This window comes from Homo sapiens, chromosome 13 (assembly GCF_000001405.40).
Source record: "Homo sapiens chromosome 13, GRCh38.p14 Primary Assembly".
NCBI classification, from domain to species: domain Eukaryota; kingdom Metazoa; phylum Chordata; class Mammalia; order Primates; family Hominidae; genus Homo; species Homo sapiens.
The window spans coordinates 32,683,153-32,698,181 of NC_000013.11; the positions used below are offsets into that span (position 1 = coordinate 32,683,153).

A 15,029-nucleotide genomic window follows, 5' to 3' on the forward strand; every position below is an offset into this window, starting at 1 on the left:
CAGCTGTGTGCCACCACACTTGGCTAATTTTTTTGTATTTTTAGTAGAGACGAGGTTTCACCGTGTTGGCCAGGCTGGTCTCCTGGCCTCAAGTGATCCACCTACCTCATCCTCCCAAAGTGCTGGGATTACAGGTGTGAGCTACCACGCCTGGCCTTTAAAATTTTTTTTTTTTTTTTTTTTTTGAGATGGAGCTCTGCCCTTGTTGCCCAGGCTGAAGTGCAATGATGCGATCTCCGCTCACCGCAGCCTCTCCCTACTGGGTTCAAGTGATTCTCCTGTCTCAGCCTCCCAAGTAGCTGGGATCACAGGCATGTGCCACCACCCCTGGATAATTTTGTATTTTTAATAGAGAAGGGGCTTATCCGTGTTGGTCAGGCTGGTCTTGAACTCCTGACCTCAAGTGATCTGCCCGCCTCGGCCTCCCAAAGTGCTGGGATTACAGGCATGAGCCACCACACCTGGCCAGGTTAGTGAATTCTTAATCAAGTTATCAATCTACCAAATGGAGAGGAGGCTGTTATTACTCAATTGGATGTCAAGGCTCTTTTTTGACTGAAGAACTAATCTTCTTTCTTCCTTCCCTTTCTTTCTGGGCTCTTAATTTTCTTGAAACTTCTATGTAGGTATTGTTTTGCTAGGGCTTATTTTCAAGGGTATCATGCAGTGTTTTAAAAATATTTTAGTTATTAAAATTTCCACTGTAATAAAATGTTATCTTTCAGAGTATCTTAAAGTGAGGTCACATGACCCTGAGGAAGCTATTAGACATGATGTTATTGTGTCAATAGTTACAGCTGCTAAAAAGGATATTCTTCTGGTCAATGATCACTTACTTAATTTTGTGAGAGAGAGAACATTAGACAAACGAGTAAGTATGAATAAATAATTATTACTAAGTTTTCATTTTTAATACTTGAAGTTTAACAATATTTGAAAATATATTTAAATATACATATTTAAATATAATTAGCCTTTTTTAGGGGTATGGAGGCATTTTAATATTTAAAATTACCTTTATGAGGTTTACTTTCTGTTACATTAAATTGTATCAGTTTTTCTTCATTAAAGATATTTGTTCTAATCCTGAAGATAAGACAGCTCTTAATGGTAGTCAATGTTTATCCTGTATACCAGTGTTAATGATAAGGGACTTTTGTAAAGGCCTGAGATACAACTTCTCTTATGTTGTTGACTCTTCTTTTTCTTTCTTCTTTCAGGGCTGTTGTTATATGGGTATGAATTGGTAGTTGTCTAGCTGGTTGTATTATAATCAACATGGAATAGAAAATGAAAGATGTTTTCAACTTAGCAAAGCTAAACCCGATAGAGCACCATGCTTCTAGCCTATTTTCTGTGTCCTCAAGCCAGCTTTTTTGAATGAGTACCCACTAGCTCCACTCATTAATCAGTGAACTTGAGAGGACTGTATCTTGTTATGTTTGTGTTTCATACTGCATGGAATATATTAGGCACTCAGGAAATACTTTAATGAATGTTCATTCTGTTCCCCTCCTGATTGCCATAATGGCATCTAAGCCTCATTTAGGCATAAGAGTAATTTTGGTGAAGGATGAGACTTTTTGACTTATTTAAGTGCTAATTATCAAAGAAAGTGGGAGGCCTGCCTATTGGTTGTTGGAATATCTTTGACTAGGTAAATTCTTTAAAACTTTGTAGGCCAGGTGCAGTAGCTCACATCTGTAATCCCAGCACTTTGGGAGGCTGAGACGGGTAGATCATGAGGTCAGGAGATCAAGACCATTCTGGCTAACATGGCGAAATCCCGTCTCTACTAAAAATACAAAAATTTAGCTGGCTGTGGTGGCGGGCGCCTGTAGTCCCAGCTACTCGGGAGGCTGAGGCAGGAGAATGGCATGAACCTGGGAGGCAGAGCTTCCAGTGAGCTGAGATTGTGCCACTGCACTGCAGCCTGGGTGACAAGAGTGAGACTCCGTCTCAAAAAAAACATTGTAACGGGTTGATCATGCCATCTCCCTTGTTTAATACTCTCGTTGATAATGCTGGTTGTGCGTGGAGGATAAATGGGCAAGAAGCACATGGTTTTCCCTTCAAATCTATAGGTATCCAGAACAATTTATTTTAACCGATAAATTTAGACTAATCTTTATTGAATATTTCGTTGTGGTATTAATTAGTGAAAAGGGCCAAAAGGCATGAAGAGGGAAAGGATATTTGCATTGTTCATAGGATAGTAGCCTTCTAAATACCTTTTTTCTCAGCTAGACTTAGAATTTGAGCTGTTTTTGTGTATTGTTGGGATCATAATGTATATTTTTGATCATCATGTTATATTGTATGGTTGCTTGGTTCATTCATATAAAAATTGAGCACTGAAAAATAATTGACTATATACATGTTCTTGGTAATATTAGAATATGATGTATCTTTAAATTCTCTTTGAAGAAGAGGGAATTAAGAGTTAGATACAACATGGGGAGTTAGAGATACAAACTTTTTATAAACAAATTGAAGTCTTACTTATTTTTTGAGACAAAGTCTCCCTTTGTCACCCAGGCTGGAGTGCAGTGGTGCCATCACGGCTCATTGCATCCTTGACCTGGGTTCCAACAGTCCTCCCACCTCAGCCTCCTGAGTAGGTGGTACTACAGGCACATCCCACTATGCCTGGCCAATTTTTTTTTTATTAGAGACAGGGTCTCACTATGTTGCCTAGGCTGGTCTCGAATTCCTGGTCTCAAGCCATCCTCCCACCTCGGCCTCCCAAAGTGTTAGGATTACAAGCATGAGCCACCATGACTGGCCTGAAATCTTATAAGACCTGTAGAAGTCTTTTATTTCAATATGTAGTTGGTGGATGAATGAGATAAGAACTATTCTTAATATACTGTAATTAAGTGAAAGAAAAACCAAGGAATAATTTGTTGCTATGAATGACAGACCATAGCAAAAGAAAAAGGACCACGAAGGAAAAAATTAATAATCTCTGCAGATTCATGATGTTTTCAACATTACCAGCTTCCTTTTGATTACAGTGCTGTGTTTATGTAAAATTAAAGAATGAACTTATTCTAAGATAATTAATGCCAGATGCACTGTAACAAATATACACTTATTTTAAAAAAAGTTGAATACATTTCCCTTATACTTCAACTCAGTCCCAGATGTACAGAATGGACCACTGATAAGTATTTTTACATTCAGCATTTGATAAAGCCAATATCATATATGCCTTTAATACATCTTAATTACTATTATTTGTAATAGTGTAAGTATGCTCAATATAGACCACAATTAGAAAAAAATTATGAGGGATGGGGGTTTATCCATTTAATTCTGTCTTTGTCTTTTAATGTTTGGTTTCTTGAGCTGGCTGCAGTGGCTCACGCCTGTAATCCCAGCACTTTAGGAGGCTGAGGTGGGAAGATTGCTTGAGGCCAGGAGTTCGAGACCAGCCTGGGCAACATAGACCCTGTTTCTACAAAAAACAAAAATAAAAAATTAGCTAGGTGTGGCATTGTATGCCTGTAGTCCCAGCTACTCTGGAGGCTGAGGTAGGAGGATTGCTTGAGCCCAGTTGTTCATGACTTTGGTGAGCTGTGATTGCACCACTTCACTCCAACTTGGGCAACAGAGATCCTGTCTCTAAAAATGCATGAACAAAAATTTTGGTAGCTTGTTTTTCTCACCAATTTTAAGTCACAGTATGTAGAGTATGATTAGCTTTTGTTTTCAGGCATAGATGATAGGTTTAAGACATTAAAGCATTAAAGTTCTTTACACATGTTGATTTTTCTCCCATACTTTACATGGTAGAAATATTTATGTGATAGTTGTGTTTTTTTTTAATAAATGTAGTAATTATAAATTGATATTTAGTATCTGAGACTTAAAAAAATGTATAAAGGGAAGGAAAACACAAAACTAGGAAACTAGACTTTCCTTAATTTATATAATGGAAGCCTTTTTACATTATAAATAAAACTTTTTGTTTTTAAGTGGAGAGTACGCAAAGAAGCCATGATGGGACTTGCCCAAATTTATAAGAAATATGCTTTACAGTCAGCAGCTGGAAAAGATGCTGCAAAACAGATAGCATGGATCAAAGACAAATTGCTACATATATATTATCAAAATAGTATTGATGATCGGTAAGTTAAGGACACTATAAATATTTGGTGACTTTGAATGTTATATAACTTGATTTATTGTTTTATGCAAACTATTTTCTTTATGACCTTACACTCCTTCCTCAGTTTTTAGTGCAAGGTAATGGTAGTGAGTGACTGGGCTCATTCCCACCCAAGCCATAAATGAAGCAGTAATGTACATATAACTTTAGGGATGGGTACAGGTTTTACGTTCCATTTTCATATACTGTATTTGAACAGTCATATCTAAAAATAGGTATGTGTAATAGTTATAATTTTAGTTCATAGGTAATTGTGTTACAAGGATCTTCATTAATTTTTTTCAAAGAAAACTTTAAAAAGCTGTTGAATTTTACACATTTAAAAACAATTTCTACTGAAGGCTAAAAAACAGTTTATAAATTTATATAAAAAACACATTATCTGAATATAATCTTAATATTTTTTCCATTCCAGGCTAAGATTAGATCTTGTATGGACTGCAGTCATTTATTAGTTAATAGAGCTCTAAATCCTGCTTATAGTCTGAAATGATTTGATAGGTTATTAGTGGAGACCAAATGATTTTGCCTGTAGCAGATCAGAATGAGAAAATTAAGAAGCAGGTCACACTAAAATTTTAAGAGGCATAGATACTAAAAACTGGATTATCTATGAAACTTTATAGTTGTTTTTATAAAATTGAAGTTGTACTTCTTGAGGGTATGGCATCAGTGCACAAAGAATTACATTATGATTTTGTAGGACTTTTTTTTAGTACTTTTAGCCAGGTCTGTTTTCATGATGATGCCTATGAAAATGCAAAAGAATCTTAAGAGTTTCTTTAGTTTTGACTTAGAAATTTAGAACTTGGCATTTGAAAGGACCTGGCATATTTTAAAACTCTGTATTATACAGATAAAGAAAAAATCCCTGGTACATAATGTGCCCAACATCCTGAAGATGGTAGTTGTCTTAGCTGGGTGTAGGGCTGTTTTCAGTACATCCAGCTAAATCCTGTTTTGGTCCCCTTCTATCTACAGATAGAAGGTTTTGATTTGGAAATCTCATTTCCACTTAGAGCGGCAGGAACTTCTTTAATATATGTTCTTTACATAGTTTTAGAATTTTATATACAACTTTAGAACATTAGAAAAAAATCAATACAATGCCTTCTCTGCTTTTTTGTAGACTACTTGTTGAACGGATCTTTGCTCAATACATGGTTCCTCACAATTTAGAAACTACAGAACGGATGAAATGCTTATATTACTTGTATGCCACACTGGATTTAAATGCTGTGAAGTATGTTTCAAATATCAAATTCTGTTCTTTTCATCCTTTGCAATATATTGGATTTTATGGAAAAGAAACTACAAACACCTGTATTTTAAAATGTAATCTATGTAGTGTAAACATTGTTTAAAGGGTTATGTCGTAGTACTTGGCTATTTTTTCAGAAAGTACCACTTTAAACATGAGACTAAGCCATTACAAGCAATTGAAAAATAGAGCTGATTGACATGAAATCTTTTAGGATTTGAGTTTTCTATTCATATTGTTGGTGTCTCAAGAAACGTTGATGTACCTATTCTTTTTTATTTGTTTTCCTTAAGGCATTAGAAACATTCATATTATGAAAATACTACCTTTTTATTCTCACTTGGTGTACTGATGTGCATTACGGTGGAGAGCAGTAGGCTGCAGATTTTGTGCTGCATAGCCTGAGCAGCACCGTGTTATAGTTTGACATAAGAGTAAGCACAAATATATTTTTATTACCGCATGTCATTCAGAAAGTACTTTTGGGTGTTTAGGTAAGGTGGCATTGGTGTGTTAGACATGGAAAAGACATTGCTAGTCTAATTGAATCATACTAAGGGTTAGGAAATTGAAGTCTTAGAGATTTGCTTTAGGTTTTAGGAAATGTAGACCCTTAGTATTCCAGCAAATGTAGTTTACAAATATTAAGGGTTAAATGTTGAGAAATTTGAGAGATCTAAGGGGCTGTATGTAATTTTCATTTGTACCACTGTTTAATGAGACTTTTAACTTCATTTCTTCCATGGAAATAATTATATTTTCTGTTTATGTTTTATACAGAAATAGTGAGGACAAGGTTGTAGAGGGGAGAAATACACATTTTTTTTTCCTACCTGCTGTATTTCAGGCACTGGAATTTGTATTATGTATAACTGCTTTTGTGCTACAGTGGAAAAGTAGGTTGCAGAGAGATCTGATTGCCCACAAAGCTTAAAATATTTACTGTCCGGCCTTTTACAGAAAAAGCTTGGCAACCCTGGTTTAAGTGACATTTTTCCTGTTTTACATATGATGAAATAAATCACACAAATGTTAAGTTCCACAGAATCACACAAGGAATAAGAGGGAGCCAGGATTCGCACTCAATCCTGCTTGGTTCCAAAGCTTGTTCTTTTTCCACTACACGTAGTAAAATACATTACTCTCATATTTACTTTTATTACTTGTAAACTTTTCTCTGGAATTGAAATACATCCTAAAATTGTTGGTTTGTCATAGCCTAATTGGTGGCTCTTTTTCTCATGGCAAAATTAATTGATGGCCTCTTAAATTGGATGAAATATGGTATTTATATCATATTTGAAACTACCTATTGGAAATCATAGTAAATCTAGACTTCTCTACTCAGCCCAACTGTCATTCAAGAGTAAAAATGAAATGTCACTTTTAAGCAAAAATGAAGAATTTGCCAGTCCTACTTGAAAAAATTACTAAAGAATAACCTTATTTTGGTAAGAAAGGAAATTAAATCTATAAAGAAGTAATAAGATTCAAGAATTTGAAACACTTCTATAAATATAAATAATAAAGGACTGTAAAAACAGTAATAATACAGTTTTATTTGCAAGGGGTGGGAGTGTGGATTAAAAAGTAGGTAGCATGTAGGCCAATATTTAGCCAGTACCATACACCACTGCAGTACTATGTGAGATTTCCTGAGTGTCCCTGGAATCCTCCTTCCTATGGTCCTACCATGCCTGGGCAGGGCTGGAATGTCTCCAGGACCTTCTTGCACTGCCCATGATTCTGACTGGTTGATGCCTGATGCCTTTGTGAAAAATTTTGACTGCAGGTGGGTCCTATCAGATAACAGCATGTAAGGTAATAGGTAAGTAATGAGTATGAAGGTGTTCCAAGGTTCTTTTGTCATGTTAGTGAGGGCAGACATCTTGACTAACTATGTTATAAGTGGGCATTTAACAGTCACCTCTGAAAGCAGTTAAAATGTATAGCTTCCAAACACAGAGGAACAAAAAATAATTAATGAAAACTTTAATACCAGAAACAAAATAGAAAACAAGAAAAATAACAATAAATACACAAAGTATAGTTGTTATAAAACTAAACATGTCAGATATCACTTATCACTTAAATGATAAGTATATTTGATTGAATTCAAAAGTGAAACAGTGCCATTCACAAGAGATATATTGAAAAATAATGCCATTGAAAAGTTAAAAGTAAATTCCAATCTGGACCAGTACTCAAAAGGAAAGGCTTTGATTCTACAAAAATGGTTGGTGAATGAATGGATATTTATTTGTTTTAAGATAAAATATTTAGGGTACATATATATCATTTTTTAGATGATTTTCATTTTAACCAGCTTTTTATAATTAGCTGACCAACTATTATACTTACCAGTATTTTAGTACTTTATATTTATCTGTGGTTGTTTTCTCCAAAATCCATTACCTTTTTAATTATGTAATAATAAAGAAATCACGTATATATGTTATGAAGCATAGTAATAAAGTAAAAATACCTATGAATCTATTACCCAACTTGTAAACTTTTCTCCCATTCATCTTCTCCCAGAGGTAACCTCTACCCTTGTTTCTTGTTTCCTTTAAAAATTTTTTTTAACATATACATGTATATGTATGTGTATATATGTGTATCCCTCAGTAATATATTTTTGCTTGTTTTTGAACTTTATGAAAGAAACAATTGTGTATACAGTGTTGTGTGTCTTTTTTTCTATTCTATTTCCAAGATTCAGTCATAATATTATACATAGCTGTACCTCATTCATTTCACTGTGCTATAGAATTGCACTATTTCATTAATCCATGATCTTATTCCATTATTTTGATATGAGAAATTTGAGTCAATGCAGAAAATGGATGTCTGCATTACTTCCTTTTTTATTTTTTTACTATTTCAAATAATGCTGCTGTAAATACTTTTCAATTTAATATACACATGCAAGAGTTTCTCTGAGGTATGAATATGAGTTATTCTCAAATTTAGCTACTTATTGAAATCACCCTGGGAGGTTTAAACAATTGACAACTAAGTCCCTCCTTCAGAGATAGTTACTTCATTTGTCCGGAGTGTAGTCTGGGCAGTCTGATTTTTAGAAAAGCCTTTCAGGAGATTTTAATGGGCAACCAAGGTTCATAATCACTAGTATATAGCTAGGAGTGGAGTTTCTATGTGCCTTTTCATCATTGTAAACTAGTGTCAAATTGTTTTCCAACATGATTATACTAGTTTATACTCCTACCAGTGGTTTATGGATTTCTACGTCCTCCTGTGTATTATCAGACATTTAAATTTTTCCTAATCTTATGAGTATCAAATTTTCTTATCTTTAATTTTCCTGAATGCAGGTAATATTGATCTTTTATAGTTTTATGGTCCATTAATGTTCTGATTTCACCACACTCCCCACTACTACGTATTGCAACACCTGTTCCTCTTTATGCATTTAAATTACATTCTAGTCCTGAAGTCATTTGAATATATGACTTTGACTTAATTTGAAAGGGACTTAAAAATAGCTGCTTGTCAGGCATGTTCCTGGTAAGAACTTGTTTGGTTAGAATTCCTCTTATTTGTTGAAAGAGCCATATATTTTATTCTCTGACTACTTTTCTTTGGGGAAGACAAAGTATTTCTTAGATTTCAGACTTTTTATGTGAATCAGTTTTTGAATAAGCTCCTAAGTAAACTAAATATCTTGATTATTGAAAAAGAGAACAGTGTGTACTTCCACCTCTCACAAGTTCCCCAGAACTCCTATTAGCGACAGTAGTAGAAGATGGTATCGGGGTCTTTGTTGTGATCTTCTCTTTTATTAAACAAGTTTGCGTCCAAAAAGCCTTTTTTTTTTTTTTTTTTTTTTTTTTTGAGATAGAGTCCGATGGGTGACTTGTCAGTTGGGAGCTAAAGGTTAGAGGACAGGTCCTCTTCAACATTTGGACAGGCCACTGACTAAAACCTGATGGTAGCTGTCTTTTTCTTTGAGTTGCTGCAAACTTGTGGTTTGGTAACAAGGAGATTTGTGGGAACTAATTGTCTATTTAAAATGTCAGGTAACAAATATAAGAATATCCAGGCTGTAACTGGAGTTCTTACATTTGCTTAGCAACAGAACTGCAATTCAGACTAATATTAAATAGAGATTTTTCCTATTGTAATACTGCTTTTCCTAGTATAACTTTTTTCCCTTTTTTAGAGAATTATTTATAAAGGCAATAAACAGGCACAGATTGCCTTGCTGGTTAATACAATTTTATTAAAATACTTGAAAGGATAGTTCCTATAAACATGTTATAATACAAGTTCTTAGAGATGGTCACTTTTTTATTTTATTTAAGCTATAGCCATAACAGGTTTATAATGGGCTTTAAAATAGCTTGACATTTCATCTTTAATGAGTAATTTCCCTTTTATTTTAAGTGAAAGTAAGCTTCAAAATCTAGGCCTTTCAGAAGTTAGAATGATTGAGCATATAGGAAAGAGAGAATACATTGACTTTGGAGTTCAGAAGTAATTTTACAAATGACTACCCCGTTTCTTTGAAAATTATTTTAATCTTACAACTCTTGTTAGATTTTTAGTCCTCTGGAGTATGAACATTTTGCTTTCAATGTTTATATTCTTGAACTGTGCTTATGAAAATTTATACAACTTAGTAACTTTAAATTAGTAAAGTATAGCTATTTAAAATATAACTTCTAAGATGAAAATGTCCTAATAATGTTGCTTTTGCCAGTACCATTTTGACGTGACTACTATAAAGGAATTCAGGTGTCCCAAATTTGAACTGGTTTATCTCCTTTAAAAAATCCAAAGGCATTTTTCAAACATATTGTTAAAGGGCAGAATTAAAATATTAAACGATGTTCTTTGTCTATTAAAAGAAAAAGAGTTTCTTATATGCCTCTGTGTTACTGCTTTTTGGCAGTGCTTCATATGTATGGTAATAGAGGTTAATAGAAGTGTAGAATAATTGAAAACAAACTGATGAAAAGTTTTCCTTGTTTTTGGAGATTTCCTTAAAAATTTTTAATTGTGTGGCTCTAATCTGTAACCAAGTGTTTCATTAATTATTCTCTATATGTTAATATTATTTATATATTATAATATATTAAACGACATTATAATACAATATTGTTGCTTATATATCGAGTACCTGTATGATTTTTTTAGATTTAAATTTCTGCCTGAGAACAATACAACTATTAAGAGAACATCAGAGTTTTTGACATATAAAAATATTCACTTATAAATAATTCCAGACTGTTTACAATTTAAATAAGATTTGTCTTAAGAAAAAGTATCCCCATTCTCTCATAACTAATTCTTCTTTTTATGTTTTTGATTCCATTTCATCCTTCCTGCTACAACACCTTACGCTGTCAGTTATTCCTTTATTTCTCAAATTTATAATTTCTCCAGTTAATTCCTACCCTAATTCGACCACTGATTATTTCTTTTGATCTTGCTGTGTTATATTTGATTCCATTCTTTCCCTCTACACATTATCAGTTGCTTAGTCCTGTGAATTTCATCTCATCTCTGTCATCTCCTTTTATAATTTGAACCTTAAATTATATAGTAGTAATATTCTAGAAAGATTTTTATTCTGTTTTGTTATTTAAATGTGTATGTTTGTGTTTTTCAGAGCATTGAATGAAATGTGGAAATGTCAAAATCTGCTCCGACATCAAGTAAAGGATTTGCTTGACTTGATTAAGCAACCCAAAGTAAGTAAGAATTTTTTCCTTCAATGTTTTTTAAAACACATGTATTTTAATTACTATTTACCATTGCTGCTATGTGTTAAACAATTCTTTCTGTTTGCAAAAGTTCTGATTGTAGAAGTTAGGATTCCTTGTTTAGAAAACTCTGAATTTTTAAGAAACTTATTAGATAGAAAGTGATAAATGTTTATATCTGCAAAAGGTAATACCCAACATTACAGAGAGTGTGGGTCTGTGTACTCAAAGTTTTTTGGTAGCTTTAAAATAAAGGTGTAACAATAACTCAGCATTATTGAAAGCATAGAAAATCGAAAGAAATTGCACTTTATGTTGCCACTCTAAGATGTTCCCTACTTTTTTGTATATGCTTGTGGTTTTAGAAAGTTTCAATAATTATGTAATTAAAGTTAGGTATCTTGATGTTTTTACTTAATATTTATGAAGATTTTAATGTACTACCTAGTATTTATAATGTAATGATGGTATTCATCCATTGGATGTATCATATTTTATCTTTTATCAATCATTTAGAATGATTCTAGGGTTTTTTTTTTTTCATTGAAATGCTGTATGTAGACATGTAAAAGGCATAATTCATCTAAAAAGCAGTGCGCCTGGTCATTTTAAATTGCCTTCAGGGAAAACAAGAGTATTCTTTTTTCTTTTTCAGTTTAGAGTGCTTTTTCTCAATCTCCCTTCCACACATACACTTCATAGGACAGAGGTCAATGGAGCAGTGTTGTTTTCATCTAAGGGGTGAAAACTTTCACCTTTTCCCTAGGCATAAATTCACCAATTGCTCTACAAATCAAAAAACTCACACCATTTGAGTGGTTTATAGTGACCCTCTCACTATTTTTTTAAACCTTCAGATCACTAGTAATAAGACATTTTGTACCACCTTTTTTGCCTAATTGAAGCTCACATTTGAGTAGTATTTTTGTTTTATAGGTTAACAATGACCTCTTTGTGTTTTATTGAACATAACCTTTTTTCTGTGATTATTGAGTTTATCGAACCTGTTAAAATATGTTTTCCTTGAAAATAAATGACTTAAAACTGAGTGATTTTGCTGTCCTTTTTCTTAAACCCTGTTAAATTAGTATGTTTAGCCAATAAGCATGTTTCAGTTAGTGTCATAATGTAAGTTAGTGTGTTTTCATTAATAATCTCTGGATAAAGTGCCTCTCTTTGCTACTTGGAGCTCTGTATATTTACCTCCTTCTGGCCAGAGATGTAAGAGTGTTTATTAAAATTTTAAGATGTTCTTACTTACATGTATATAAAATTATTTGTGTTTAGGCATTATGGAAATCATAATAACATCCAGGTAGTATGTTAAGTGTATAAATCATATGTTGAACAGCATGATGTGTGAGATTGTAATCAAATATAACTTTGTTTTTGATTCTCACTGTTCCTCTAAAATTTATGTATTTAGTTGGAGCTTCTTCATTTTGCCTGTTGTTAAAAATTGGGAGGGTCTTAGACTTTCCTGCTGAGTCATACATGAAATCACTAGATACAGTCTCAATTCAGCTAGAATGTTTTAGTTCTTTTCTACAGTGTGGAATTTTCTTTTTGCTTGTCTTAAAATAATTACCCAGTTATCCACAGTAAAGATGGAGTTCTCATTCATGTGTGATGGTTTTGAAAAAGTAACAGAATGGAGGAGGATAGCCCAGCACCGCTTTGTTCCCCCCAAATAAAACAGCAACAATAGAAATCTTACATGTTTCTAGACAGCTGTTAGATGCTTTAAATTCCAAATAGTTGGGAATTAATTCTTGAACTTTATTACGCTTTAACTCTCAGTTCCTCTTAGCAAGCTCATTCTCAATAGGGATGGTCTTTTTGTGTATTTATTTGATTTATTGCTTTCAGTTCAATGTTTATTTAGCTCAGTACTTTAAATACACTTGCTCAATGACTTTTTTTGTTTCTGGTTTTTAAAATAACACTACTCTGATGCAGTGAATAATTAGCACTCTAAGAAACGTCTTTTATACATGACTTTACATGCAGTAGTACATGAATGTATTACATATGGTATAATGTAATGAATTAATTCACTGAAATAACACTTCCCTGATGCAACCCGTAACTAACACTCTTAGAAACGTCTTTTTTACGTGTCAGTCACATCTTAATTGTCTTTCTCCAGTGTCTTCCCCATAAGCTTCATGACCATGCCTTATAATTCTCAGGTCTAAACATTGTAGGAGTTTTCCCTGTTCTTTCAGCTCTAAAAAAAAAAAACAAAACCCCAAAATACGTACCTGTTACAAAATGTAGTGCAGCTGTCTGATTTCTGTTTGGAGGCTAACACAACAGGGTGAGGGAAGACATGATTAAAGTAGAGAAGGAGTTTACTTCTACCTCCTGTCCAGTTTATCTAGAGTTTAATAAAAATAGATGAAGAAGGTGACAGTAGTGGTAAGAGCATGGGTCTGCAGCATTTAGTGGGTTATGCTTGTCTAATTTTTTGCAGAGTATGATGAAGTTTTCTTGTTAGGGAATTTTAATTTTGCATTTTTTTGTGTGATTTACAGACAGATGCCAGTGTCAAGGCCATATTTTCAAAAGTGATGGTTATTACAAGTAAGTTATTTTAAAATCTGTATAAAAATGTAATTTTTATTGGAACATTTTTTATAATTTTAAGTGTTTCATGCAGTTTTGTTATAGGCTATGATAATATAGGAATTTTAAATTTTCTTTAGTGTCTTACATGAGCTAGAGCTGGAGAAAGGATTTAGTACATAAATTTATTTTTAAGAGTTTATTGAAATCATCATGTAAACTTATAAAAACTGAATCTGTGTTTGGTTTTGCTTGCTCTAATGTGACTGACTGAAGCTAATTCACTCCAAGCCAAAATATAAAGGATATACCTAATAACTACATACGTAACAGCTTCTTTGAAAAAATATTAATTTGCTTTTTTGCTTTAGGTGATGTTAAGTAAAATGGTATTTCATTTAACAGTAAATGCAAAAGGATTATGTGGAACATCTCCTTTGTTCAGTGGAAAAGTAGGGAAAAGTTGCTGTTTTTGCAGGTCATTTGCTTTTCCTCCCACCTCAGAGGTCACTGTGTATAGCAAATGGATAGAGGGATAATCAGAAACACCTGGAGGAATACTTCTGCTGAACTTCCACTTGGTGATAATGAAGAGATCTTAAGATGGATCTGAGATGCTAAATATTCCAAGATGTGTATGAAAGTAATGTTAAGACACTGAAGATAACAGTAAACCTAACTCACTGGTTTTTGGATTAAGTAATGGGAATATTAGAATGAGTAGAACTTTAAGACCAAAATGTTCTTCTGTCCTGGGAAAACTACTTTCCAGTCCCCTGGGTAACTTGCTAAAGCAAGTTGTTTTGTGCTAGTCCTTTTACAAAAAAATTAATTTGATGTTTAGAGGTGAGATCTTGCTCTTTTGCCCAGGGCTGGAGTGCAGTGGCACAATCATAACTCAAAGCTATCTTGACCTCCTGGGCTCAAGCCATCCTCCTACCTCAGCCTCCTGAGTAGTTGGGATTCCATGCATGTATTAACACACCCAGCTAATTTAAAAAATATATTTTTTAAGAGACTAGGTCTTCCTATGTTGCCCAGGCTAGTGCTGAACTGCTGGCCTCAAGTGCTGGGATTACAGGTGTGAGCCACGGTGCCTGGCCTATCACCTTTTTATAGTTTGGCTATGGATACTGTCTCCTAAAAGAGATCATTCCCTAAGTTCTTTTTTTTTTTTCCCTATCAGTTTTCTTCCAGTGAGTTCAATATTTCCCAGATTCTGTTTTCAAGGAATGCTGGTATCCTGCAGTTGTTAATAATATTGTGAGAAAAAGGGGTTTCATTGTCATATATGTTT

The 15,029-nt window shown here is 33.5% G+C and overlaps 1 protein-coding gene across 9 annotated transcripts in view; it reads left to right on the forward strand.

Moving 5' to 3' along the window:
• PDS5B (PDS5 cohesin associated factor B) overlaps positions 1–15,029 on the forward strand; it is a 191,568-nt gene that overhangs the window by 96,701 nt on the left and 79,838 nt on the right. For all 9 annotated transcript variants that reach the window (XM_005266298.5, NM_015032.4, XM_017020452.3 and 6 more), the window contains 5 exons: positions 726–871; positions 3,982–4,133; positions 5,304–5,417; positions 11,071–11,152; positions 13,702–13,750. In XM_005266298.5, coding sequence (XP_005266355.1) covers positions 726–871; positions 3,982–4,133; positions 5,304–5,417; positions 11,071–11,152; positions 13,702–13,750 — 543 coding nt within the window. The remainder of the gene's footprint in view (positions 1–725; positions 872–3,981; positions 4,134–5,303; positions 5,418–11,070; positions 11,153–13,701; positions 13,751–15,029) is intronic.